The sequence below is a fragment of the Homo sapiens genome, chromosome 6 (assembly GCF_000001405.40).
Source record: "Homo sapiens chromosome 6, GRCh38.p14 Primary Assembly".
NCBI classification, from domain to species: Eukaryota; Metazoa; Chordata; class Mammalia; order Primates; family Hominidae; genus Homo; species Homo sapiens.
In genome coordinates, this window is record NC_000006.12 from 29,624,163 (window position 1) to 29,650,270 (window position 26,108).

The window sequence follows — 26,108 nt, forward strand, 5'->3', positions numbered from 1 at the left end:
TTCTGGCATCTCTTCCTGTCAAGTGCCTTTTTTCTCCTCTTTCATTAAACTTCCTTCTCTGTCTTCCATCTGGAGCCTTACCCATCACCTCTCCTGCACACCCCTCCTTTGGTATTAATGAACATACCACCTTACCTCCTTTCAGCTCACCCTCAGACATCCCCCTTCCCTCTGTCACCAAGCCCTTTACCCCATGTTTCTATGCTTCAAACACCAGTGGGTGGAAGAAGTCAGTAGGAATACGGTAAACTCTTTCCACATCCCCAGATAGCTTGCTCAAAGCCATATTATGAAAATTCCTTCCTCACCTCTGCAAACCCCTTCTCCCCACCTTCCATTTGTTTCCTCCCTCTTCTCTTTTCAGAGCTAGTGATAAGTAAAGAGAGAACAGGAACAAGACCAGTAGGGGGTCCCGCTCAGTGATCCATCCCTCCTGCTGGGCGCTGACATTTGACAGGTCCATTAGAAAAAAAGACACTGGGGGGTGGAAGTAGGGAAGAATGTAGGATGAGGAAAGAACAGAGAGAATGAATAGAATGGAACTCTCAAGAAACCAGACAATTTGAGAGGTGCCTTAAAGAGAGGCTTGGAGCTAGGGAAAGTAAACAAGCAGAAAGCTGGAGAAGAAAGGAAGCTTGGGAGGAGGGGAAATGGGGGAGGAAGAGCCAGCCTTGGGTCTCCCACTGCCTGTTCCCCTCCCACTGATATATGACATTTCAGAAGCTGCTGGAACCCCAATGCATGTGAAGACGAAATGGCAGCCAGTGGGGAGCCAGGGCAGAGGGGACACAGACAGGGGGCTCAGGGGACTAAGGAGGGTGAAATGTTGCCAGGAGGGGAGGATAAGTAGAAAGGAAATAAAGAAAGCACTCTGGAGCCTGCTTACCTCCCACTGAGGCCTGACATTTGGGACACGGTGGGAAGTTGGAGAAGGGGGAGCCAGGGGAAGCTGTTGGAATCTGAAGAACCAGCAGTCACTGAGAATTCTCTGTTGCCCACCCTACCCTCACTCTGGCCAAGGGCAGTGCTCAACAACATTGGAAGGTTTTCTCTTTATGCCTCCCACTAGGGCAACTTTGTAAATCTTTACCATTCTCAGGACCCACCTTCCTGCACTCTCCCCACATCTATTACTCCAGATCCTGCTCCCAGCTTCTCCCACAGCCCCTCAGTGCCCCTCCACTTCTCTAAAGACAGGGTTAATAGGAACAATGAGGACATACAAGAACATATAAGATACATATCAACAGGGCAAGGCATGCCCCCCATTTTGTTTCCTGATTTCTTATCTACCTTTTCTTGCAACCGTTTCCCTCTTCCACACACTATTCATCACTGCAGATTCTCTCCACCACGTGATTCTCTCCCCCTCCCCAATAGATTTCCTTAGTTCTCCTCCCTCTCTTTGCTCTTGCAAGGATCTGGATTTGCAGGCAGGAAACCGACTCATTCCAATTGACACATTCTGGTTCTTCTGCCTTCCCATCCCACCCCGCTTGATGCCTCTGATGTTCTCCAGTTCCCTTCTCCCAGGTCCCACGTCTGCTCCCCGCCACCTCCAGGGAATCACCTGTCATGGTGGATGAGTTTGAGCTCACAGCCAGGCCTCCCCTATCTCCTGTGATCCCCTATCATAAAGCCTGCACCCATCTCTCCCTGTCATTTTCTTCACACTCCACTCCCCAAAACCAATGATCTCTCTGACTGTCCCAAGTCTGACCCTCTACCAGATCTGATCCTCTACTTCTCTTCCTGCCTCCCGTACCCTAATACCTAATTATTTTCCTGTACCCTGCTGCTCTTCCCATAGGCATTCTGGGGTTAGCTTACAGCTCAGGAATCCACCAAGATAGGATGTCTATTAGTAAAAATACAGATAAATACTTGGGATTCATCCCTGACCAAGGAGCTAGAATCTGTATTTTTAACAAACTCCTCTGGTGATTCTTATGTACACTGAAGGCTGAGAACCACGAGAAAGTAACAGTCAAAAAGGATTTTAAGTTCTCTTGCCAAGCTCCTGATAATCCTTGTGCTCTCTTCTCTTCAAGCACCCTACCTTCAACCTCACTTCTGTCCCCTCACACACCTATCCCAGACACACACCTATTTCTAGGTGTATAGTGATGTTCTAAAAATGAATATAAATCCTTGGATCACCCCAAGGTTGATATTTGGTAAGATCACCAAATTCTCACCTTGTGTACTCTATTTCACCCTAACCCAATTCCTTAAGTCTCTGGGGCCACATGTCAGTGAAGATAAATTTGAGATCTTAAATCTCCTTCCCTGTGTCACATCCTTCCCTGCACCCCCAATTATTCATGTAGGGGAGAGGGGTGGGAAAAAAAACCTCATTATAAGCTATCCCCTAATACCCCTGGACCCAAATTTGCTTACCTTCTCTCTCTCCCTCAACTCACCTCCCTAATCCCTACATCCCATTTCCCTTCTCACATCCTAGAGGCCACAATGCTATAAGGGAAGGGAAGGTCAGGACCCAAGTTCCATAAGGTGCCCCAAGATCTCTCATTATCCCCACGCTACCTCCTTGCCCCTCTCCCCCACTGCCATTCTTTTCTGTTCTCTTCTCCTTGTATGTTGACTCTTCTTCATCCCCATGCTATTGTGGGGGTTCCCATGTGGATCCCCAATCCAATTCATTTTCCCAGTGCCTCTGCCCACCTCTTGATCATTAGCCTTCCCCAATCACCATATGCCATCTATCCCACAGTCTGGGAATGCTCAACAGGGTTGGGAATAGAAGGATGAGAAGGAGTCAGGTAGGGCTCACCACTACCTTGCTGTTTTGTTAAGATAAATAAACTAGAGCTCTCAAGTCTCTCAAAATTTTCCTCATTCTGTCCCTATTCCTTCCAGCTCCAACCTACGCCAAGATTTTACCTTGTTACCATGGTAAATGTAAACCCCCAATCCAGCTCCCCACCTCTGACATTCCCTCCACCCCCAACCCATTCCAGGGTTAGTTTACTCCCTCAGAGGATCAGTGTCTCCTAATACCTTAAATCCACCACCAGTTTCTCCAAACCCCGACACTTCTGCGAGACTCCCGCAGCGGGGCAGAAGGGTCTGCCTTGCAGCATGCTTAACCATCTTGAGCCCCTAGACCCTCATCTTGGACCTCCAGCCCCTGCGACTCTCCCCAAGCTCCTGCACCCCCAGCCCATCTCCTGCCAGTCACACAAGGGAGGGGTCTGCCTCGCAATCCCAGAGACGACTCAGACAGATGGGGGCGCGTGCAGCTGGCTGGCCCCCTGCCCCGCAAGCCCCCACCTCCCACCCACCCCCATGTCCAGGGCTACCTTGCTGTCGTGGTGGATGAGCTTGAGCTCATAGTCCGGCAGGATGTCCCTGCGGCTATTCACGTCCTCCAGCGCCATCTCCACCGCGGGCTGGCAGGCCTGGCCCCCTGGCCAGCCCCCGCTCATGGGAAACAGTGCCCCGATGTACACTGCGCGCCGTTCTGAGGAGGGGTGCGGGGGGACCCGCGAGTGAGGCCGCGGGAGATGGGGGGAGTGGGAGGCCCACACCGGAGCCACCCCTGCCGCCATCACAACCAGAAGCGGCAGTGGCCACCCCACCCGGGCAAAAGGGGCCCCGGGCCCCATGGCGTGGGGGGCAGGGGTAGCTGTTGGGGAGCGTTAGGAGCTCAGGGGGGACACTTTTCCTGGGGAGGGCTGCTAAGAGGGTGCCGGGGAGGCGCCTCCATCCCTGATTTTGTGGGGAGGAGGGGGCGAGGGCCCCGGAGAAGCAGGGAAGGTTGGCTTCCTACGGCCCCCGCGGCTCTCGCCACCGTCGCCGCCACCGCGGACTCTCCTCGCGGACTGACTGACCGACGGAGGGGAGGAGGAGGAGCAGGAGGGAGATGTGGGGCTGGGAGGGGGCTCTGACGTCACGGGCGGCGCGCGGCAGCGGGGGGTGGGGGGGCGGGCGGGAGCTGGGGAGGCAGGAAGGGGGCGGGGAGGGAAGCGAGCGCCGAGGTGGGAGCGACAGTCGGAGGGGCGGGGAGGGGAGGGGGGATGCAACCTCGAGGAGGAAAGGAACGAAAGAGGAAGGGAGGGATCTCACTTAAGGGGACCCGAGGGGAGGAGAAATGGGGACGGGGCGTGCCAGGAGGGCGGGGTGGGCGGAGGGAGCCGCGGGAGGCTGAAGCACGGAGGAACCAGGGTAGGAAGGGAAGGATGCGAGTGGGACGGGAGAGAAACGGGGCTGGCGCCTGAGGTCTGAAGTGGGAGTATGAGTCGATACAGTGAAGCACTGAGGATGTGGGGGAGAGGAAACGGTTTTGGAGGGAACGAGTTGGGTACGGAAGGGAGGCTGGTTTGAGGGAGTGGTGGGGTCGTGGAAGGGAGCCTGGGGCTGGGTAGACAGAAGCCTAAGAAAGGGAGACAGGACATGGAATTGAGAAAAGACGAGGGAAGGGGTACACGGAAGGAAAAGATGTGGGGAAGAGCGCGAGAGGCCTGGCCAGGGTTGGGATGGGTGGGACAGGCTGAGAAAGTCCATTAGGTGAAATCCTAGGAGGCAGCAGGCTGGAAAAGGTTCCAGCGAAGGTCGCAAGGAACCCCACAGGGGAAAACGTGGTGGGAGCTCAGGGTCTCCCAGCACCCTGCCGCCCTCTGCTGGGCTCTGCCTGACACCGGCGAGGCTCAGTCTGGGAGGAGGTGGAGCCCAGGGAAGTGTAGCCAAGCAGGGACAAGGAGAGACCGCAGCCTCGTGGAAAACCGGGACTGGAGGCAGGAAACAGGTAGGGAGGGAAGGGGGTGGCCGCAAACTGGGGTGGGTTGGGGAAGGTGCGAAAGGACGACGCCCCGTAGCCTAAGGGCAGAATTTCAGGGGGGTGGAGGGTGCAGAGTGAAGGGGAGGGCATTGCAGTGCGCGCGGTAAGGGTTTCTCATCTCACCTGAGTGTGGCGTTCGATTCACTGGCAGCAGGAAAGACGGGGATCAGAGAAGAGTTACCACTGGCGCCCAGCTTCCCTGGCCTGATCCCCAGCCCCCTCCCACACCTGTCCATGCTGAAGACCGGGGAGAGCAGAAGCCTGCGTTTCTGAGGGGAGGGTGCCTGGGGATAAGAACAAGGTGGGTCTGGGGGTAAGGGGGTCAGGACTTATTTTCTTCTTCGATTTTTCATAGGACAACAGAATTTGAGACGGGAATGCCAATAGCTAAGTTTGGGGCAGATCTTGGTTCTGTGGTGCCTGAATATTACAAAATTGGGAGTCTTTAAGAAAAAAAATTACACATACAATTGGCTTTAAGCAATTGCTGTTAAAATCTTATTTCTGCAATTTTTACAAAAGCCTGTTACCATATGAACACATATCCATCGAGCCCTCTATATTATTAGAGCACAGGAAGAGGGCCCTGTAGGTGAGGAACCTTGAAGTCTAAGTTTCAGTAGTGTCATAAGTCCACCCCTGGATGGGACTCTCAATTTCCAGAATAAAATGGTAAACTAGAAGCAGAATAACTGAGTTATGTGAGGAAAGTAAAGCCCAAGGATCTTGAAAGAATCTACCAGGGTAGAGGAAGTATGAGGCATACAAATGGGATGACTGCATCCCAGGAGAGAAGATGGCAGAGAGTTCGGGTGCCTAGAAAAGGGAGAGTTTGTAAAATTACGTGGCAAAAAAAAAAAAAAAAAAGTAGACAGACACAACACTGATTCCCTTAGGGAATAATGGAGGTTGTCTAGGAAGTACAGAAAAGGACCTGTCTTCTTCCCACCCCATCCCTGAGTTGTTCTTCATCTTCTGATAATGCTGCCTCCAATTTTAAGTCTTTTACCCTAATATGTTTCCACCCCCAGAGCTCCCCTTCTCAATTTTTCTTAGTAGAATGTTTGATTTATTTCTGAGTCTTTACAATAAATCAATTATATAAGGAATGGTGAGGGATGAATTCTAGAAGAGGGTGATGCATGGAAATTTCTAAGTTTAGAGAAAGGGAAAATTGGAGTATTTAAACCTGAAGAAGGTGAGAGAGGTGAGATTCATAAAGGAAAAGAGAAAACGTGAGGTCTAAGAATCGGGAGCAGGAAGATTTTTTTAAAAGGTAAAGGAAGGAAGCCCCCAACCTACAGAGGATACCGGGGACTGCAAGAGGAAGTTTGAGGCAGGTGATGGAGGAAAAAGGGACTTTCATCTCCCCTTTCCAGTGTCCTCCCCCACATTTTTATAGCTCTCCATTCTTTCCCATTATCCATTCCCACCCCACTCCCATCCTCACACAAGCGTCCTCATCAGCTGCATGCAGGCAGCTGTTCCCCTCACCCTGGCAGTGGGGCTTGGGGGTGCTCCACTGGCCCTGACTACAGATGCTCCGGGAGCTGCCCACCAGATGGAAGTCGGGGTCACACCGGAAATCCACCCGGGCTCCGTCCAGAGCTGGGAGGTCCCCACCCGTCAGGAAAACCTTCCCATTTTCCAGGGTCAAATAAGACTTGGAGCAGATTCGGACTGTGGAGAGATAGGAAAATAAGAAGAGAGGCGAGTTGAAGAAGGCTCTTTCCCTTTAAAGAGCAGGGGACTCAGGTGCAGGTTTGGGTCCACAAGCATCCTGCTCTAAAGAAAATCACATGTGAAAAGGATTTGCCTACCTATCTTCCAATCCTCCCTTACCTGTGCAAGCATCCACACATTCCCAAAAGAAAAAAAAAATTACCATTTTAGGAACCCAAGATGGGGCTATAAGCACACAAAATGGGATCTCTTCAAAGTCAGCTACAGTGGGCGGTTCTCTGGCTTTGAAATATGTAGATGTATATAACTTTGGATGCACAATCAGATTTGCTTTTCTTATTATAGTTGGCTTCTATTAATATTAAACTGGCTTTTGTTTCTTGGGCATATGGTCTCTGGGTTGGTGACAGAGGTATTCAAAAATGTGATGAAATCATTTTAGAATTTTTTTGTCATCATCTGCCACTAATGATCCTCAAAGAGAATAACTGACAAGATGAATTATCAATGTTATAGGCCAATGATCAGTGGCCTAATGAAGGGAGGATGAAATGAACTGTGCAGGCTGCTAGCTCTACTACCTCCAACCGCACAGAGCAAAATTGCTCTTATGTAGTAGTCATTCAATAAATGTATTTGTGAATTTTGGTATACTGGATTTAAAGTGCTGACTTGCAAGCAGTAATGCTAAGTTTGCGGCAGGAAAAGGAATAGTCTTGAAGAGGGGAGGGGCTTCCGAGGCTACTCACCACAGCGGCTGGGTGTGTCCATATCTGTCCAGGAGCCGTTGGCCAGGCACTTGCGGACCTTGGGCCCCACCACCTCGCGCTCCCCCCGGCACACATACTCAATCTCATAGTCCACTGGCAGGAAGTTGATAGCCTTCACCTGGTCCCGAGTCAGGCCCCGGTACCTGATGCCCCCTTCCCAGGGCGGGTGTATGATCTGGCAACCTAAGGGGTGAGTCGGGGAGGCATACAGAGAGGAATGGTGGGAAAGAGGAAAAGGCAGGCTCCCCAGTGGGAGGAAGGGGAGAGTAGGGCGTGGTCTGTGGGCAGGCTGGGGACAGAGGAAGAGGGATGGGGCACTAGAGGGTGGGAGTGGGGACAGGTACAGATCCCCTGGCTAAAGGACAGAGAGTAAAGGGCCAGGGTTAAAGCTGATGAGAGAACCCACAAGTGGGGAGGGAAGGGTGCTGGGTGGAGGTAAGAAAGAAAAGTAATTAAGAAATCATGAAGGGTATGATATGTGGGTGGAGCTTTTCTTTAAAAAAAAAGGCTAAATGAGGATATTCGAGTTGAATTAGGATAGGAGGATAAAGGGAGGCTAATAAGATCATCTGGACAGCAAAGTGGGACCAAGAAAAGGGAGTAATTGAGGTAGTAATGTGGGGCTGGGAAAGGGGATTGAGGCGGAGAAAATGCACAGGAAGGTGGTATAGTGTAGCAATGTGGGCAGAGAAAAGAGGTGCTGGATAGTAACGTGGGGTGACAGAAGGAGGTCAGCAGTAGTAAAGTCGGGCCGAGCAGAAGGGGTTGCCAGACCGGGATGATATGTGGGACTGATGGGATAGTGATGAGGACCAGAAATGAGGAGATGCAGGGAAAGGGAAGTGGAGCGAAGGAGGGCCGGAGGTCGTCGAAGAAGGATGCACCTTCTGAGGTGGCGTTGGGGGTCTGCGCCCCGCCCGCGCCCGGGGGGCGGAGGAAGAGTGGCGCCAGTAGCAGCAGCAGCAACATCTAAGTGAGAGGCGGCCATGAGGACTGGACCGAGCCCCGCCGGCGCGGCCCGCACCCGGAGACTACTCGACCTCTTGCCGGTTGCCTCGCAGGCTCCGACCGGGCTCAGCCTGGGGACCAAGAGAGCGCCCCGCGGAGGAGGCGGGGGCGGAGCCCCGCGCGGGGTGGGGGGAGAGGAGGAGAGAAAGCCTGTCCCCACCCTCCTCCTGCCTCCCTCGGCCCCCAACCCTCCCGGGACTCCACCTCTCACCACCTCCTCTCCCCCGGCCCCCGCGGCTCGCAGAAGCCTGGCTTACCCACGCTCCCGGCATCGGCCGCCTCAGCGCTCCCCGATTCCATCCCCGCGGTTCCTCCTCTCCCCCAGCCCCGCTTCCCCCAGCTGGGCCCTGCGCCCACTGCCCCCTCCCCCACCACGCCGCGCGCCCCCTCTCCGAGCCCTGCTAACCCGGGGCCCTGGCTCTTACCTCGGCGCGCGGGCCCGGCTCCCCGGCTCTCCCCGGGCCTCAAGGCCCCAGGCCCGGCCGCTCCTCCCCGCTCCCCCCTCCCTTCTCCTCCACCTTTCTCCTCCTCCCGTCCCTCCTCCCCTCGAATCCAGGCTCCAGCCTGGCCAGGGTCTCTCCCCTCCTCTCTCGCTTCCCCCAAACCCCACCCCTGTCTCTTCTTCCCCGGGGCGGCGGCAGCCACGGGAGCGGGGAGCGGGGAGCCGGGAGGGAAGGAGGCGGCGCCGGGGACCAGGGAGAGCTCCCGGGCGGAGGGAAGAAGGAGGGTGCAAGGGAAGGCAGGGCGGGGGGAAGAGAGGGGAAGACCGGGGAGAGGGCGCCTCCCACAACCCGAGCCCCGGGAGCCGCCCCGGATCCCAGCCCCGCCCTGGACCGCCCACAGCGCGGTGGGGCGGGCGGTGGAGAGGCGCGGGGCTGAGAGGTGGGGGAGAGGGAGGTGCCCTGGTGCACACGCACTCGTCGGGGGGCGCCGGTCACTGCCGAGGGACCTGCGGGCCAAACAACTGGAAGCTGGGGTGGGGGAGAGGGAACCCGAGCCAAAGGCAGAGGAGCTGGCGCTGAGACAGGGAGTCTGGGATGAAGGTGGAGAAAGACGGCTGCACAAAGAGAAGGCAGCCCTAGATCCGGGTGAGAGGAGAGAGGCAGAGGCAGATGCCCAGGAGAACTGCGACCGGAGGGCGAGAAAGAAGCCTGGGTCAGAAGGAGGTGGGGGAGGGGGACTGAGGACCACCTAAGCGCAAGAAGGGTTGGGTGTAGAAGAGATTTCTGGGAGACTAGAGCAGCTCCATGGTCCAGCAGCATTGCTACTCGCCTGCTCTGCAGGGAACGCGCAGAACGGATTGGAGGCAAAAAACAAAACAGGGAGGGGGACATCAAGGAGAGAAATTGAAGTACGAAGGGAGTAAAAGGACAAGAGAAAAGAACCTCAGGGTGGTTTAGAAGCCAGTATTACCTGATGTACTCCAGCAGAGCCTAGCAAACAGTATTTCTTGACCAAGGGCAAACTGGAAGCTCTAAAGACAGCAGGTACAGACCTTTTTGACGGCTCCAGAAGCTCTTGGCTATACCTTGAAGTGGAGGGGTGTGTGTGTGTGTGTGTGTGTGTGTGTGTGTGTGTGTGTGTGTGTGTGTTGTGCTGTTGTTGTTCGTAGGCCTGAGTTTGGGCTGGGAGAGGAAACAGTGGGCTCCTTGTTGGGGGGGACAAAAAAAAAGCTGCTTTCTGGCTGGTCCTAGGGGGAAAAATGGTAGGAAGAAACCAAACACTGAGAGACTGACTAGAATTGAGATTCTCAACCTCCAACCCTTTTTTACAATAAATATTTTGTAATGACACTTTTACTGTCCTAAATTGAGATTCATAGATGAGGCTCACGCCTGAAATCCCAGAACTTTGGGAGGCCGAGGCGGACTGATCACTTGAGCTCAGGAGTTTGAGACCAGCCTGGCCTGGCCAGCATGGCGAAACCCCATCTCTACTAAAAATAGAAAAATTAGCGTGGTGTGATGGTGTGCGCCTGTAATCCCAGCTGAGACACCAGAATCGCTTGAACCCGGGAGGCAGAGGTTGCAGTGAGCCAAGATCGCACCACTGCACTCCAGCCTGGGTGACAGAGCAAGACTCCATCTCAAACAAAAAGAAAGGGAAGGAGGGAGAGAAAGTCATAGATGATATAACCTACCTACATACACAACTTTAAACAGAAAGCAAAATGCTTCCCTTTCTGTAACGTAAAGGGGAAATGAAAGAAAAGTAACTTGCAATAAAATAACATAAACAGTATTTTAATGTGTGAGTGCCAAGGCCCGACTACCCTAGAAGTCCTGATGGAGTAAGCAGATGCTTCCACCTATTCACAGAACCACGGGGATGAAACTGCTACCAACACAGGCTGATCCAGGTGCTGAGTTGGTGACTCAACTACCTCCAGCATGTTGCCATCAATGAAGTGATTTAACAAAATGTTGAACAACTCTTGGTAGCAAAGTTAATTTTCCCTAATTTTACACACAACTATAATTGCATTCCTAGAAAGTTCACTGTATATTTAAAAAAAAATTTTAAAACTGTATTAAGTTATAGGCTCAGATAATTAAACACAGGTTTTCACTACGTGAATGTCCTGGGGGACTTTTGAGAATCTGGGTGAGGAACAATTCTTCAACATGTAGGTAGTGCTTTGAAGAATATCTTACACCTCTGCCCCAACCATAAATGTCAATAGTGCCCCTTCCCTTATCACCTGAGGTTGGGAGTTCGAGACCAGCCTGACCAGCGTGGAGAAGCCCCAACTCTACTAAAAATACAAAATTAGCCAGGCATGGTGGTGCATGCCCGTAATCCTAGCTACTCAGGAGGCTGAGGCAGGAGAATCACTTGAACCCGGGAGGCGGAGGTTGCAGTGAGCCAAGATCATGCCATGCCATTGCACTTCAGCCTGGGTGACAAGAGTCAAACTCAGTCAAAAAAAAAAAACAAAAAAAAACAGCTAAAAGATGCATCAAAATGTTAACAAGGATTGCCTCTGGGCCATTAATTGTTGCATAACTTTTCTTTTTTACTTTTTTTTTTTTTAAACAAGAAGTTTATTTAAACAACAAGACGCTTGACTTGAAGGGAAAACTATCTAGGATTCTTTTTTGTTTTAGAGTAATTTATCCCTACTTAAAGACAGATTGCTCTGCATGTAACAGCTAAGTACAAAAAAGTTATAAAATTGTCCTTGGTTTTACAATGATAAATGAAAAACATTAAAATTCTCCAATTGAACAAGGTATGCAAGGATTTTTATGTTGTTGTTTTTTTGTTGTTGTTGTTAAAACAGTGAGAGCAAAATAACTTACTGGAATATAAAGATAAGAGCTGAATGAGCATGCCACTAATGGAGAAAGGGGGTATTTTCACAGAATCAGTATTTTTCCGCCCCGTCTCCACTTGATGTCAATCAAAACATACCATTGGCTGTTTAGTTTTAAAAAAAAAAAGTAATATGCTTGTGCACATATACCAGTTACTTTATGTACAGTAAAGGAATGGGGAAGGGGGAAATGAAAGAATAGAGAAAACTATACGGTAGTAGTCAGGATGTGGTGGAAGCAAATTGCAGTTTTCTAATTGAGAATGTAATCTTGGTCTTTAAAGAACAGAGTTCTGGAGTAAAGAAGCAGGTTCCCTTTTCAGTAGACACCTCCCGTCTGCTGTTGGAACACATCAATTGTATCTTCATCCTCCATTTCCAACTGTGCAGGTGTGTCTGTTTCATTGGTTGCCCGTCGAATCGGAATCTGATCTGCCTCATTGACAATCCCTGTCGTTCACAATAGGCTTTCATTAGTTTACTAAGTGGTGTATGCCTCTTAATCTTAAACTGCACCACAGAACCATCCTGCCCCGCCACCTTCAAATTAATATGATCGTTGTTCTCAGTCTTGACTCCTTCCTTGGGCTTTTCTTCGGCCATGGCGAGCGCCGGAGTCTCCTCAGCTGCCGCTTCACAAAAGAGGTACCAGGTCCGCTCCAAACGAGCACACAAGCAGCACCAGGAGCGGCAGAAGAAGGAGGCGGCAGCAGTGGACAAGGGGAGAGGGTGCGCGCACGTCGTGCTCTCCCTCCCTCCACCCTCACTTTTCTTTTTTTTTCTTTCTTTTTTTTGGTGGGGGGACGGAGTTTCACTCTTGTCACCCAGGCTGGAGTGCAATGGCGTGATCTCGACTGACGGCGACTTCCGCCTCCCGGATTCAAGCGATTCTCCTGTCTCAGCCTCCCGAGTAGCTGAGACTACAGGTGCACACCACCATGGCTGGCTAAATTTTGTATTTTTAGTAGAGACAGGGTTTCACAATATTGGTCAGGCTGGTCTCGAACTCCTGACCTCAGGTGATCCACCTGCCTCAGCCTCCCAAAGTGCTGGGATTACAGGCATAAGCCACTGTGCGGGGCCTGCACACTTTTCTTTCGTCATATTTGTTGTTCAACTTTTATTCAAATGTTTTACAAGTGTCTCCTCTATAAATCATTTTTAACTGATTTATAAAGGTTTAAAGAAAACCTTCCTAGCAAGTTGCATCAGTATAGCTAAAATCTGTTACTTGTTTGGGAGGCAGAGGCATTTGAGGGTACAGACAAGGGCTCCAATTATGTTCATTATACAAACCACTCACCTTTTTCCACCAGTAGCTACAACTTCCCCCTTTCACATCTTTTCATATTCCAATGTCACTGCCAGGATTCCTGGCCATATTTTTCAGGATATTTGTAGAGGTCCTTCCAGAACCACTACTTGAGTATCCTAATTTCATCCTCCCCACAATCAATCTACTTCCTTCTTTTCCTTTTACATCAAGCACAAAACTTCTTTCCTCTGGAAGGATCCCCAGGCTTGATCCCATCCTTCTCTCACTTCTGTACAATTTGTGCCTTTGGCAATGCCATCTCCTTTTGTAGTTTTTGACGGTTTTTCATAGAGATAGTGGAGTTCCTACTCAGATTACTGGAAAATGACAAATCTTATTCATTTTAGTTCCCATACTTTCTTTTTTTTTAATAATTTTTATTTTTTATTCTTATTTATTTATTTTTATTTTATTTATTTATTTATTTTTTGAGACAGTCTCACACTGTCGCCCGGGCTGGAGTGCAGTGGCGCGATCTCGCTCACTGCAACCTCTGCCTCCTGGGTTCAAGCAATTCTCTTGCCTCAGCCTCCTGAGTAGCTGGGAATTACCGGCGCCCCACCACCACGCCCAGCTAATTTTTTGTATTTTTAGTAGAGACGGGGTTTCACCATGTTGGCCAGGCTGGTCTCAAACTCCTGACCTCATGATCTGCCCGCCTCAGCCTCCCAAAGTGCTGGGATTACAGGCATGAGCCACGGGGCCTGGCCTCCCATACTTTCTTTCTACTTCCTTTTCTCTCTTCTGCCTCATCTTCCATCCATCCCTGAGAGCATATAGCCCAGAATTTAACACTCTGGGAGCCCTGAAAACATATTAACCAACGTAGTTCACTTGATTGATGATCAGGTAGATGCTAGGTACATTTTGGGAGTATCTCATTAAATTCTCACCTAACCACACAGAGTGGATATTCATGTTCTATACTGAGCCTAGTAAACTACCATTTAAAGAAAGTAAGAAGCAAATCAGAGGTCACACAGCTATAAAGCTGACAGAGCCAACATTTGAACTTAAGTTCGTTACCCTATTTTCAAATTCTTTCTACTGCATTGAGAGGCTTAGTTTTGAGGCACTTCTCTCACCCAACTCCCACTCCAAGTCTTTTTCTTTCTTTCTTTCTTTCTTTTTTTTATTGAGACGGAGTCTTGTTCTTTTGCCCAGGCTGGAGTGCAGTGGCACAATCTCGGCTCACTGCAACCTCCGCCTCCCGGGTTCACACCATTCTCCTGCCTCAGCCTCCCGAGTAGCTGGGACTACAGGCGCCCGCCACCATGCCCGGCTAATTTTTTTGTATTTTTAGTAGAGTCGGGGTTTCACTGTGTTAGCCAGGATGGTCTCGATCTCCTGACCTCGTAATCCGCCCACCTCGGCCTCCCACAGTGCTGGGATGACAGGTGTGAGCCACCACACCCGGCTCCAAGGCATTTTCTGTCAAGGGTCAAACTGCAGTTCTATTCTCTCATCTAAAGTAGTGGTGATCACTGGGTGAATGGAAGATGTTCATGTCCTCTTGGGTTAGGATGAAAGACCTGTCTTCTGGGAGAGTTTTCTGTCCTGTAACAGCTCTTGCTCTTTAGAAAAATGTATAGGGCAAAGGTTTATTATTCAAACGTGAAGTTATTTACACTCTGGGATTCACTCTGGCTTTTTAGTGAGGTTTTGAATCCTTTGCATCATATTTAATATCACTAAAATAGGATATTTTTGTGAAACTGTTTGATCCTTCCCCTCAGTTTCCATTTGTGTGTTCTCTTTCTTCCCGTCTTGATAGGCACAGGCACTCAGAATCACTGGGCCAGAAAGAAGTAAGAGAGTAGGCCGGGCACGGTGGCTCATGCCTGTAATCCCAGCACTTTGGGAAGCCAAGGCGGGCAGATCACGAGGTTATGAGATCAAGACCATCCTGGCTAACACGGTGAAACACCGTCTCTACTAAAAATACAAAAAAAATAATTAGCTGGGCGTGATGGTGGGCGCCTGTAATCCCAGCTACTTGGGAGGCTGAGGCAGGAGAATGGCGTGACCTGGGAGGCGGAGCTTGCAGTGATCAGAGATCGAGCCACTGCACTCCAGCCTGGGCGACAAAGTGAAACTCCGTCTCAGGAAAAAAAAAAAAAAAAGAGAGAGAGTAAGGGAACATCTTTCGTTAATAAACCCTCTCTATTGCTCCCCACACACAATCCTAGTTTGGTTGCTGTCTTCGTCTGTTTGGGCTGCCATAACAAAATCTCTTGCACCGGGTAACTTATGAACAACAGAAATGTATTTCTGACAGTTCTGGAGGCCGGGAAATCCAAGATTAAGGCACTGGCAGATTCAGTGTCTGGTGAGGGCTGGCTTCCTCATAGACTGCCATCTGCCATCTGCGATCTAGCTGTGTCTTCACATGGTGGAAGGGCAAACAAGCTCCCTGGGGCCTCTTTTAGAAGGGCACTAATCTCATTTGCAAAAGTCCCCACCACTTAATACCACATTGCATTGGGGATTAGGTTTCAGAACATGAATTTTGGGGGAACACAAACATTCAGACCATAGCAGTTGTACATTCTTGGCAGTTCTGGCCTTGGTTTATTGTGCCAATAAAAGTAAGCTCATGAAGCTATTTCTATCATGTCTTTACAGGCATGTACAGGTGAGCCCAGTTTGGGAGTCACAAAACTTCAGTGAAATTAAAAAGCCACACTATGAGTACCTGCACTAGCACTTACCACTCTCACACACAAGAATCCCTGAGGCAGTGGGGATCCTACCCCTGTCTCAGGAGTGCACAGAGCCAATAACCAAATTACAACATTGACATTGTGAAGTTGCCTCTAGAAATAATTTCTCAATAAGTACACCTTTATATAATAAGTGAATGAACACAATGTAATTAAATGCTAGATTAACCTAAGAAACAAAAAGGAAAATAGCTTCTTTGTCCGTTCATCTACAGGATAATGAGGTCATGTTAAAAGACTTAGAAAAGGTTCAGTTCTCCTGCCGGGCGCCGTGGCTCATGCCTTTAATCCCAGCACTTTGGGAGGCCTAGGCGGGCGGATCACCTGAGATCAGGAGTTTGAGACCAGCCTAACCAACATGGAGAAACCACCCATCTACTAAAAATACAAAATTAGTCGGCCATGGTGGTGCATGCCTGTAATCCCACCTACTCGGGAGGCTGAGGCAAGAGAATCGCTTGAACCCAGGAGCTGGAGGTTGCAGTGAGCTGAGATTGTGCCATTGCACTCCAGCCTGGGCAACAGGCAAAACTGTCTCCAAAAAAAAAAAAAAAAAGGTTCAGTTCTCATAAACACAAATTTAATGAGCATTTTGAAGATCTCAAAATAAGTATTATATTTAATTAAACGTGTAATTAAGTATATACTGGTATGAATATCTACAAATAATTATTCATACTAATCTGAAAAACGTATGCATCATAATGTGTGTATATAATTGGTTGCTAGGGGATTTGTTTGTTCATTTTGCTGCAATAGATTTCTGTCTCTCGTCATATTCTGTTCAAGTACCTAAAATGATTGCTCACTTATTCGAAGCACACTAATGAAATAATACTCAGAGTAAAAGGATATATCACCCAGATTTTTCTATTAGAAGCTACACAATACTCAAAAATCTATCATTTAATATGTGTATGCAGGTCTAAAGCCCATAATAAGCAAAAATATATTTTCACGTTAAATGTATGGCTATTTACACTAGATGAGGTAAAGAAAGACTATAAATAGCTTCACATCTCGTTTTGTCACAGAATGAATGCAAGTCAGGCCAGGCTTTGCCGCCAAATGAGTTACAAAATTTTGGTTTTCAGAGTATTGTGAATTTTGGAATTGCAGAAAAGGATATGTGAAACTGTTTATAAACATGAGAAGATGTTTACAGATAGATGTTTTAGAAGTCAAATGAACAAATCTGAAGCAACAGACTAGAAATTCTATTCATGGAAATATGATAAAAATGCCAGTAAGAGGGCTGGGCGTGGTGGCTCACACCTATAATCCTAGCACTTTGGGAGGCCGAGGCGGGTGGGTCGCTTGAACTGGAGTCCGAGACCAGCCTGGGCAACATGGCGAAACCCCATCTCTACCAAAAATACAAAACCCCGTCTCTACCAAAAATACAAAAAATCAGTTGGGCATGGTGGCAGGTGCCTGTAATCCCAGCTACGGGGGAGGCTGAGGAAGGAGAATTGCTTGAACCTGGAAGGCAGAGGTTGCAGTGAGCCGAGATCACACCACTGCGTTCCAGCCTGGGCGACAGAGCAAGACTCCATCTCAAAATAAAATAAAATAAAATAAAATAAATTTTAAAATGCCAGTAAGGATCTCCATAAAGGCTATGTATGAAAACCTGACCATGTCACATCCATGACCCTATTACAGCAGGTCAGATTAATCTTACCCTAGTCCAGAGAACCACGGGAACCACTGAGTCCTAGTGGAGGGAAAGCCTGGAACAGATGTGAAGCAAGCTTGGCTTTTAGCAATTGAGAGTAAACAAACACCTGCTGAGTTTACTCTTCCTTGCCTGTCTTTCTAAGCCATCACTCTGAAGACCTAAAAAGCAGACATGACTCATACACACCTTCAGATGCTTTCAGTATTTGTTACACCTAGATCTGTGCAGAAACTGAATACCTTATTGGTGCATAATTTACAAAGAATTCTCACATTAGCTCTTCTAATTCTTTCTGTTGTTTCTATATGATAATATCTCCATTTGTCAGATAGGAAAACTGAAGCTCAGAAAGTTTGAATGAACTTCATAAGATCACACAGCCAATAAATACCAGAGCTTGGCCTCAAAGTCAAGTCTCAGGTCCTTCTGCCCTTCACTAACAGTGCTCCAGCCATGGTCGTCTGACTGCTGTTCTTTAAACTTCCTTAACTTTCAACTCAGAAACCAAACACACCCAGCTCCCTCTGCCTGGGCGTGGTGCTCTGTTCAGCCTCCTCACCCCACACCCATGTTGCTAACAGCTTAAATGGCACCTCCTCAGTAAAGCCTCCCCTGAATTCCCCAGACTTAGAACACTGTTTCCCCAATCCCACTAGCCACTCTCATATATGGCATACTGTAGTCATTGTTTTGTTTGTTTGTTTTTTAGAAAGAAAGAGAGAGAGAAAGAAAAGAAGAAACGAAAGAAAAGAAAAAAAGAAAAGAAAAGAAAATCAAAATCCATGTGGGTGTGGTGGCTCATGCCTGTAATCCCAGCACTTTGGGAGGCCGAGGCAGGCAGATAGCTGAGGTCAGGAGTTCCAGACCAGCCTGACCAATATGGTGAAACCCCGTCTCTACTAAAAATACAAAAATTAGCTGGGGGTGGTGGTGCATGCTAAAGGGAAGGGAAGGGGAAGGGGAAGGGAGAGAGGAAGGAAGGGAGGGAGGAAGGAAGGAAGGAACTTATCTCCGTCTGGGTAACATGAGGAGACCCTGTCTCTACCAAAAATTAAAAATATTAGCCGAGTGTGGTGGCATGAGCCTGTAGTCCCAGCTACTTGGGAGGCTGAGGCAGGAGGATCGATTTAGCCTAGGAAGTCAAGGTCAGTAAGCTGCGATCATGCCAATGCACTCCAGCCTGGGTGACAGAGAGAGACTCTGTCTCAAAATAAAAATAAAACCACAAAACTTATCTCAGTGGTAATTAAGGTAACTGTGGAATCGTGTATTTACATTTGCCTTCCTGACCAGACCATAAACTCCAGGAGGGCAGGGATTTTGACTATGTGGCTCATTTTATCCCACTAAAAGAGCTACATATTTTCTGACTCAGAGATGAGTTTCATTCCATTGTACAGAATGATCACACCAGTTTCCAAGTCTATTAATCTAGCGGTCTCTGTTGTTTGTTGAAGACCTACTAGGTATTGGTAAAATGGGTTGCTTTGTTCCATGGGCCATAATAGTGACACATTCTAAACACATTTAAGTCATTCCACCCTATAAGTTACAGGATAATAATAATAATAGCATTTATTTTACTATAACCAGTTTTGGGCTGTGTGTTTTACTTGGATTGTCTCACTTGCTCCTTATAGCATTCTCTGATATAGATATTAGTCTTCCCATTTACAAAATGGGAAAACTGAAACTCAAACATGTTTAATAATCTGCACAGTGTCTCACATGTAACAAGCCAACATGAGATTAGTGATTCCAAAGACCCTGCTCAGCCCAATGACAAGATGTGGAAAGCACCCTCAAGGCACCCAGGGGTCTCTCTCCCTGAGAGTCCTGTGCATATCAGCAATGCTGCTAAGGATTAAATCACTGCGGTTATCACTATGTGGGTAAGATTTCTGTTAGTAGAAGATCCAGAAGATTCACCCTGCCATAGAGCAGGGGGCCTTGGCTGAGCCATAGGCAGAATCACTCTCCAAAAAGACTTACCAGTGTTTATCTGAATATTTTCTTTTAGCAATAACTTTACTTACTTGCGTTATTTGTAGGTGCTGCCATTTTGCTGTCCATGATGCTACTATGCTCAGTACCCTTACTGTACTGCCCAGTAGCCCTTACCATTAGCAAACTAAAGCTTCCTCACCAGCATTAGACCTGGCAAGACCTCTGTGCATCCCCCACCACCCATGAGCATTTTGATAGCATTGCAAGTATAATCTCTGGTGCATGCACAAATTCTGCTCCACATAGCAGCGCTAATGGTGGCCCACATCGGGAATAGGAGTAGAGCAAGATGTTACCAGGAAGAGGGCCTTACTTCTCTTCTCTCTCTTCTCGCTGCTTTTTTGTTTGTTTGTTTGTTTGTTTGTTTGTTTTGTTTTGTTTTTTAGATGGAGTCTTGCTCCATTGCCCAGGCGAGTGTAGTGGCGCAATCTCAGTTCACTGCAACCTCTGCCTCCCAGGCCTGTCCCAGCCTCCCGAGTAGCTGGGACTACAGATGCCTGCCACCACGCCTGGCTAATTTTTGTGTTTTTAGTAGAGATGGGGATTCACCTTGTTGGTCGGGCTAATCTCAAACTCCTGACCTCAGGTGATTCACACGCCTTGACCTCTCAAAGTGCTGGGATTATAGGCATGAGCCACTATGTTCAGCCATTCGCTGCTCTTAAGAAAGTACTTTTCCAAAGATCATTCTCCTTGGTCTTATCTTAAGATCCTGCTATGAAATAGGGACACGGGTGGAAAATTTTCACCTGTGCCTGCAGCAAACTTTCATTCTGTCTGAATAATTATAAGTAGGATGGGGGAGGGGAGAAGAAAAAGAAAGAGACCATGATCTGAAGAACCTTAACTGTTCCCCTGTTATCCCTGGTTACTGTCAAGCAGCTAGCAGGCTAGGCTAGGTGGGGTATCTTCTTTAACTCTACTCCTGCATTAGCTGTTCTAAATCCTAGAACTCATGCCCTGTTTGAAATTTCTTTCCCTATGCCCAACTCAAGTGATGCCATCCTATTTTCTATTTTCCACCATGGGAAAAATGGAAAATAACAGGAGAAATGTATTAAGAAAGCATTCTTGAATTTGAGTTTGTTAACTTTTTTTTTTTTTTTTAACAGTCTTGCTCTGTCACCCAGGCTGGAGTGCAGTGGTGCAAGCTTGGCTCACTGCAATCTCCACCTCCTGGGCTTAAGCAATTCTTGTGCCTCTGCCACCTGAGTAGTTGGGATTATAGGCATGCACCACCACGCCCAGCTAATTTTTGTAATTTTAGTAGAGATGGGGTTTCACCATGTTGGCCAGGCTGGTCTTGAACTCCTGACCTCAAGTGATCCTCCCACCTCGGCCTCCCAAAGTGCTGGGATTACAAGCATAAGCCACCACCCCCGGCCTGAATTTGTTAACTTCTTACCAACATTTTACAAAGAAGATTGAAGGTAATGTGGGTTCTAAGACTGAAGAGTACAAGGTAAGCTGGTGGTTAATGGGGAGGAGGGATGATGGATGAACTGGTCAGGGAAGAGGATGAAATGGCTCAAAATAGAGGTACAAATAGAATGGGCTGGGCTCCTCCAACCATTCCTTGTGATTTTATTTTTACTTTTTTTTTTTTTTTTTTTGGTGGAGTTTCACTCTTGTTGCCCAGGCTGGAGTGCAATGGTGCGATCTCGGCTCACTGCAACTTCCACCTCCTGGATTCAAGTGAGTCTCCTGCCTCAGCCTTCTGAGTAGCTGGGAATGCAGATGCGATCTCGGCTCACTGCAACTTCCACCTGGGTTCAAGTGATTCTCCTGCCTCAGCCTTCTGAGTAGCTGGGAATGCAGGCGTGTGCCACCACACATGGCTAATTTTTTGTATTTTTAATAGAGATGGGGTTTTGTCATGTTGCCCAGGCTGGTCTTGAGCTCCTGACCTCAGATGATCCGCCCACCTCGGCCTCCCAAAGTGCTGGGATTACAGGTGTGAGCCACCGCGCCTGACCTATTTTTACTTTTTTAAAAGACAGGTCTCACTCTATTGCCCAGGCTGCTCTTGAACTCCCGGCCTCAACCAATTCTTCCTGCTCAGCCTCCTGAGTAGTTGGGACTACAGCACTCACAACTGTGCCTGACCCTTCTCTTAATTTTAACTCCTGAGTGATTTTCTTCTCTGGACCCCAAGGAGTCATGATATCTCTAAATTATATCCTGAAGTTATTTCAACTTTAGAAAATAAAGTTTTAGGCCTGGTTCAGTGGCTGACACCTGTAATCCCAATACTTTGGGAGGCTGAGGCAGGCAGATTGCTTGAGCCCAGGAGTTTGAAGCTAACATGGCAAAACCCCATCTCTATCAAAAAAAAAAAAAGAAGAAGAAGAAGAAGAAGAAAAGAAAAAAGGCTAGGCGCGGTGGCTCACACCTGTAATCCCAGCACTTTGGGAGGCTAAGGTGGGCAGATCACGAGGTCAGGAGTTCGAGAACAGCCTGACCAACATAGTGAAACCCTGTCTCTATTAAAAATACTAAAATTAGCCAGGTGTGGTGGTGGACACCTGTAATCCCAGCTACTCAGGAGGCTGAGGCAGGAGAATCACTTGAACCGGAGAGGCAGAGGTTGCAGTAAGCTGAGTTTGCGCCATTGCTCTCCAGCCTGGGTGACAGAGTGAGACACCATCTCAAATAAAAAAGAAAAGAAAAAAAAGATCTTGGAATGCTTTTTTTCTGCCTGTGTATTGATATTATTCTTAAGGGGCTCATAAGAAAACTAAATATATATATTTACATATATATATATATATAAAATCACCCAGGTTGGAGTGCAGCGGTGCAATCTCAGCTCACTGCAATATCTGCCTCCAGGGTTCAAGCAATTCTTTTGCCTCAGCCTCCCCAGTAGCTAGGATTTCAGGCATGCACCACCATGCCTGGCTAATTTTTGTATTTGAAGTAGAGACAGGGTTTCGCCATGTTGGCCAGGCTGGTTTTGAACTCTGGACCTCAAATGACCCTCCTGCCTAAAGTACTGGGATTACAGGGGTGAGCCACCATGCCTGGCCCAGAAAATATTATTGTTATTTAATATGACCTGCCATAACTACCATTAAAAGTAGTACAGGTGTGCAAAAGAAACTTATCTGGCTATGGCTGGGCGCGGTGCTCACGCCTGTAATCCCAGCACTTTGGGAGGCTGAGGCAGACTGATCATGAGGTCAGGAGATCAAGACCATCCTGGCTAACATGGTGAAACCCTGTCTCTACAAAATATACAAGAAAAAATTAACCGGGCATGGTGGCGGGTGCCAGCTACTCGGGAGGCTGAGGCAGGAGAATGGCGTGAACCTGGGAGGCGGAGCTTGCAGTGAGCAGAGATCGCGCCACTGCACTCCAGCCTGGGCAAGAGAGCAAGACTCGGTCTCAAAAAGAAAAGAAAAGAAAAGAAATCTTACCTGGTTGTAAGATTTTTTTCTCATTTAGTCAATAAATATTTATGGAATAGGGCAGTTTGGGATCACACACATGAGCTAAGCATGATGTCAGCCTTCATAGCTCCTACAATGTGGTATGGTGATTTTTTTTTCTTTTTGAGATGGGAGTCTCACTGTGTCAACCAGCCTCAAACAGTCCTTCCATCTCAGCCTCCCAAGTACCTGGGACTACAGGTGCATGCCACCATGCCCAGCTACTTTTTTGTATTTTTGATAGAAACAGGGTTTTGCCATGTTGGCCAGGCTGATCTCAAATTCCTTTCCTCAAGTGATCCGCCTGCCTTGGCCTCCAAGAGTGCTGGGATTACAGGCATGAGCCACTGCACCCAGCCAATGATTTTAAAACTGGAATACAGAAAGAGAAGAAGAAAGTCATGCTCCATCTTTATTATTTAAAAATCAGAACAGATACACATATTTGTTGTGAGCACTAATTAAAATATCCTTAAAGTTTCCTTACCTTGGAGTGGAATTATTTGCATATGTATACACATGATGCTGACTTTAGAAGAAAAGTTACAAGTTAAAACACGTTTGATTAATAAAAGAAAAAGAAATAAATTATACATAAATTTAGCTTTGTTGCTGAAAATCACCTCTCCAAACATAGAGTTCAGGTTGGGGCAAATAAAAAATTGCATAAAACAAAAAGGCTAAGAAATGGTACAAAAAACTCAGAGAACCACTACTTCACGTTTCCCAATAAAGCATCTTTTATATTTATAAAAGTTAAGCCTGCATATCTCTGCCCCCAATTGCAGCAGAAACACCTGAAAAAGAATGCCAGTCTGGTCTTGCTCTGACAATGGTTTTCTGACTGACCTTGAGCCTGTCACAACCCGTCTGGCCTCAATTTCATCAACTGTAAAATAAGAATAAAACTATTTGATATCTTTAACTCACATACTATTGTGAGAAATAAATACAATCATAGACAAATGTTTTCAGAATGTGAAAATGCTATAGGAACACACTTTTTCTCCAGTGGCTGGCATAAAAGTGTTGGTATGCTATACCACCAAGTCATTAGATATGAGTTAATTTCTGGATTACTGTTTCAGTAAGAATAAGCTCTACACAACTTCAGCAAGTGATGTTGGTATGTCATCCACAAAGTTCTATCACCCTATTCCATAGCATACCCCTGTTGAACTTCCCACATCCCTGTCTTCCCTTAGCTTCCTGTATCCAACCTCAGCGCAATAGCTCAGTTTGACCATTAGATGGTACCAGTTACAAGGCAAACTTAGGTCCCTTCAGAAACTGAGCATTTCTAAAAAGCAAATATTTTTTCAGGTTTGTTTGTAACTTAAACAACAAAAAAATCATTATTTTAAAGGCCATATGCTCACTGTGAAAATATATCAGGTGGTGTATGAAATAATAAGTAAATTATCTGCCGGGCGCGGTGGCTCACGCTTGTGATCCCAGCACTTTGGGAGGCCTAGGCGGGCAGGCAGATCACGAGGTCAGGAGTTGGAGACAAGCCTGGCCAACACAGTGAAACCCTGTCTCTACTAAAAATACAAAAATTAGGCCGGGCGCGGTGGCTCACGCCTGTAATCCCCGCACTTTGGGAGGCCGAGGCGAGCGGATCACGAGGTCAGGAGATCGAGATCATCCTGGCTAACACGACGAAACCCCGTCTACTTAAAAAAAAATACAAAAATTAGCCGAGGGTGGTGGCGGGCGCCTGAAATCCCAGCTACTCAGGAGGCTGAGGCAGGAGAATCGCTTGAACCTGGGAGGCGGAGGTTGCAGTGAGCTGAGATCACGCCACTGCACTCTAAGAGTGAAACCATGTCTCAAAAAAAAAAAAAAGTCAAAAATACTAATAAAAATACTAATCTCGTAGTTAACAGATTGCTGTGACCTAGAGCAAGTAAAGGTGTAATTATCAGCCTATAGGGGTTAGAGTGGCAAGAAGATGCCTGAGGGTGAGCCTACAGCCTAAAAGATAATAGAATACAAAGGCTGAAGACCTACAGGCAGGGATTCTTTGTCATTCATTCTTTCAGCAAACTTATTCTAATATGTATCCCTCACTATTCAATGCCCAGGAGGGCACAGGGAAAATAAGACGAAGTCCTGCCCTCACTGGCTAACATTCTAAGCACAGGTGCTGCACAAGAGGTGTTATGTTTTTTGGGGGAGCCAGACACAGGCCTAAGCACTTTATGTACCTTGTCTCATTTAATCCTCACATCAGCACCACGAGGTGACAGAATTATCATTTTGCAGTTAAATAAATTGATATTTCTTCATGGCCAGGTGCAGTGGCTCACGCCTGTAATCCCAGCACTTTGGGAGGCTGAGGCGGGTGGATCACCTGAAGTCGGAGTTCGAGACCAGCCTGACCAACATGGAGAAACCCCATCTCTACTAAAAATACAAAATTAGCCGGGCATAGTGGCGCATAGCCTGTAATCCCAGCTACTCGGAAGGCTGAGGCAGGAGAATCACTTGAATCCAGGAGGTGGAGGTTGCGGTGAGCCGAGATCGCGCCACTGCACTCCAGCCTGGGCAACAAGAGCAAAACTCCGTCTCAAAAAAAAAAAAAAAAAAAAGAGAGATTTCTTTAAGCTCTTTGCCTAGGGTCACAGGTCTTTCCACAGGACCGTAGACTAGAGTCAGATGTGTTCCTCAATCAATTAGGAAAGGGTGGTGCTGGAATTTGCATCTGAGTATTCCAAGCTTCTATATTCTCATATTCTGGAATGAGGATATTATGAGTCCTGAAACAACTCTAGAAATTCTAGGCTACATAATTATCCCTCCATAACGTGTTCTCTGCCAGAATAATAATGAAAAAAAAGTACTGTGGTGGCCAGACCCCAAGATGATTGGCGAAGTGAAAGTTGCCCAGTTCCAAAATGGCCACCACCGCACTTTCCTGGCGTCGGAGCGACTACGTAGTGACAGAAGGACCATCAGCAGGTGGGTGCTCACAGGGACTGTGCCAGTTGCCAAACTGGCCACCTGGGCCTTTCTTCTCCTGAGCAACAGCCAAGCAACATTATAGGCTTCAGGCCTACCTAGCCCAGGCTGGGTTAAAGCAGATAAACGAAGCGGACAGCGGAGGAAAAGCACGTAACCAAGTGCAGTGGGTCTGAAGCGAAAGGCAAGAAAAGCTCTGCCCTTAGGAACGGGGTGTCACTGCGCGGCTCGCAGGCACCTCTCTTTGACCTATTTATAATCTGCGCCTTATTCTCCGCCCCCAAAGGCTGCTGGCAACCAATTCTCGGTGGCGAAGTCGTGACGTCAGCTGTTGCGGGTCAGATTGGGAGAGCTTCCTGGTCCTTACCTAGCAAGATTCTGCCGCTAGGTGGCGAAAAGCGAAGGGGCC

General features: G+C 47.9%; 1 protein-coding gene and 1 pseudogene across 12 annotated transcripts in view, besides 5 other annotated features; both read right to left on the bottom strand.

Moving 5' to 3' along the window:
- Positions 1–9,021, bottom strand: part of GABBR1 (gamma-aminobutyric acid type B receptor subunit 1) — a 30,946-nt gene extending 21,925 nt beyond the window's left edge. Inside the window, exons 1-6 of one of the 12 annotated variants that reach the window (NM_001319053.2) lie at positions 8,688–9,021; positions 8,139–8,223; positions 7,234–7,437; positions 6,360–6,481; positions 4,925–4,945; positions 3,324–3,484 (exon numbers count right to left, since the gene is read on the bottom strand). In NM_001319053.2, coding sequence (NP_001305982.1) covers positions 3,324–3,449 — 126 coding nt within the window. In that variant the 5' untranslated portion in view covers positions 3,450–3,484; positions 4,925–4,945; positions 6,360–6,481; ... (1 more) ...; positions 8,139–8,223; positions 8,688–9,021. The other 11 variants (NM_001470.4, XM_005248982.3, XM_011514455.2 and 8 more) reach the window with 11 other exon arrangements.
- Positions 210–795: an enhancer, noted in NCBI's record as "NANOG-H3K27ac hESC enhancer chr6:29592149-29592734 (GRCh37/hg19 assembly coordinates)". NCBI's record gives its function as "activates a minimal SCP1, AML or CMV promoter by ChIP-STARR-seq in primed H9 embryonic stem cells {active_cell/tissue: H9 hESC(primed)}" and the evidence as "EXISTENCE:reporter gene assay evidence [ECO:0000049][PMID:30033119]".
- Positions 4,613–5,418: an enhancer, noted in NCBI's record as "H3K27ac hESC enhancer chr6:29596552-29597357 (GRCh37/hg19 assembly coordinates)". NCBI's record gives its function as "activates a minimal SCP1, AML or CMV promoter by ChIP-STARR-seq in primed H9 embryonic stem cells {active_cell/tissue: H9 hESC(primed)}" and the evidence as "EXISTENCE:reporter gene assay evidence [ECO:0000049][PMID:30033119]".
- Positions 6,830–7,331: an enhancer, noted in NCBI's record as "H3K4me1 hESC enhancer chr6:29598769-29599270 (GRCh37/hg19 assembly coordinates)". NCBI's record gives its function as "activates a minimal SCP1, AML or CMV promoter by ChIP-STARR-seq in primed H9 embryonic stem cells {active_cell/tissue: H9 hESC(primed)}" and the evidence as "EXISTENCE:reporter gene assay evidence [ECO:0000049][PMID:30033119]".
- SUMO2P1 (SUMO2 pseudogene 1) lies at positions 11,292–12,306 on the bottom strand (annotated as a pseudogene).
- Positions 18,254–18,753: an enhancer, noted in NCBI's record as "H3K4me1 hESC enhancer chr6:29610193-29610692 (GRCh37/hg19 assembly coordinates)". NCBI's record gives its function as "activates a minimal SCP1, AML or CMV promoter by ChIP-STARR-seq in naive H9 embryonic stem cells {active_cell/tissue: H9 hESC(naive)}" and the evidence as "EXISTENCE:reporter gene assay evidence [ECO:0000049][PMID:30033119]".
- Positions 24,410–25,030: an enhancer, noted in NCBI's record as "NANOG-H3K4me1 hESC enhancer chr6:29616349-29616969 (GRCh37/hg19 assembly coordinates)". NCBI's record gives its function as "activates a minimal SCP1, AML or CMV promoter by ChIP-STARR-seq in primed H9 embryonic stem cells {active_cell/tissue: H9 hESC(primed)}" and the evidence as "EXISTENCE:reporter gene assay evidence [ECO:0000049][PMID:30033119]".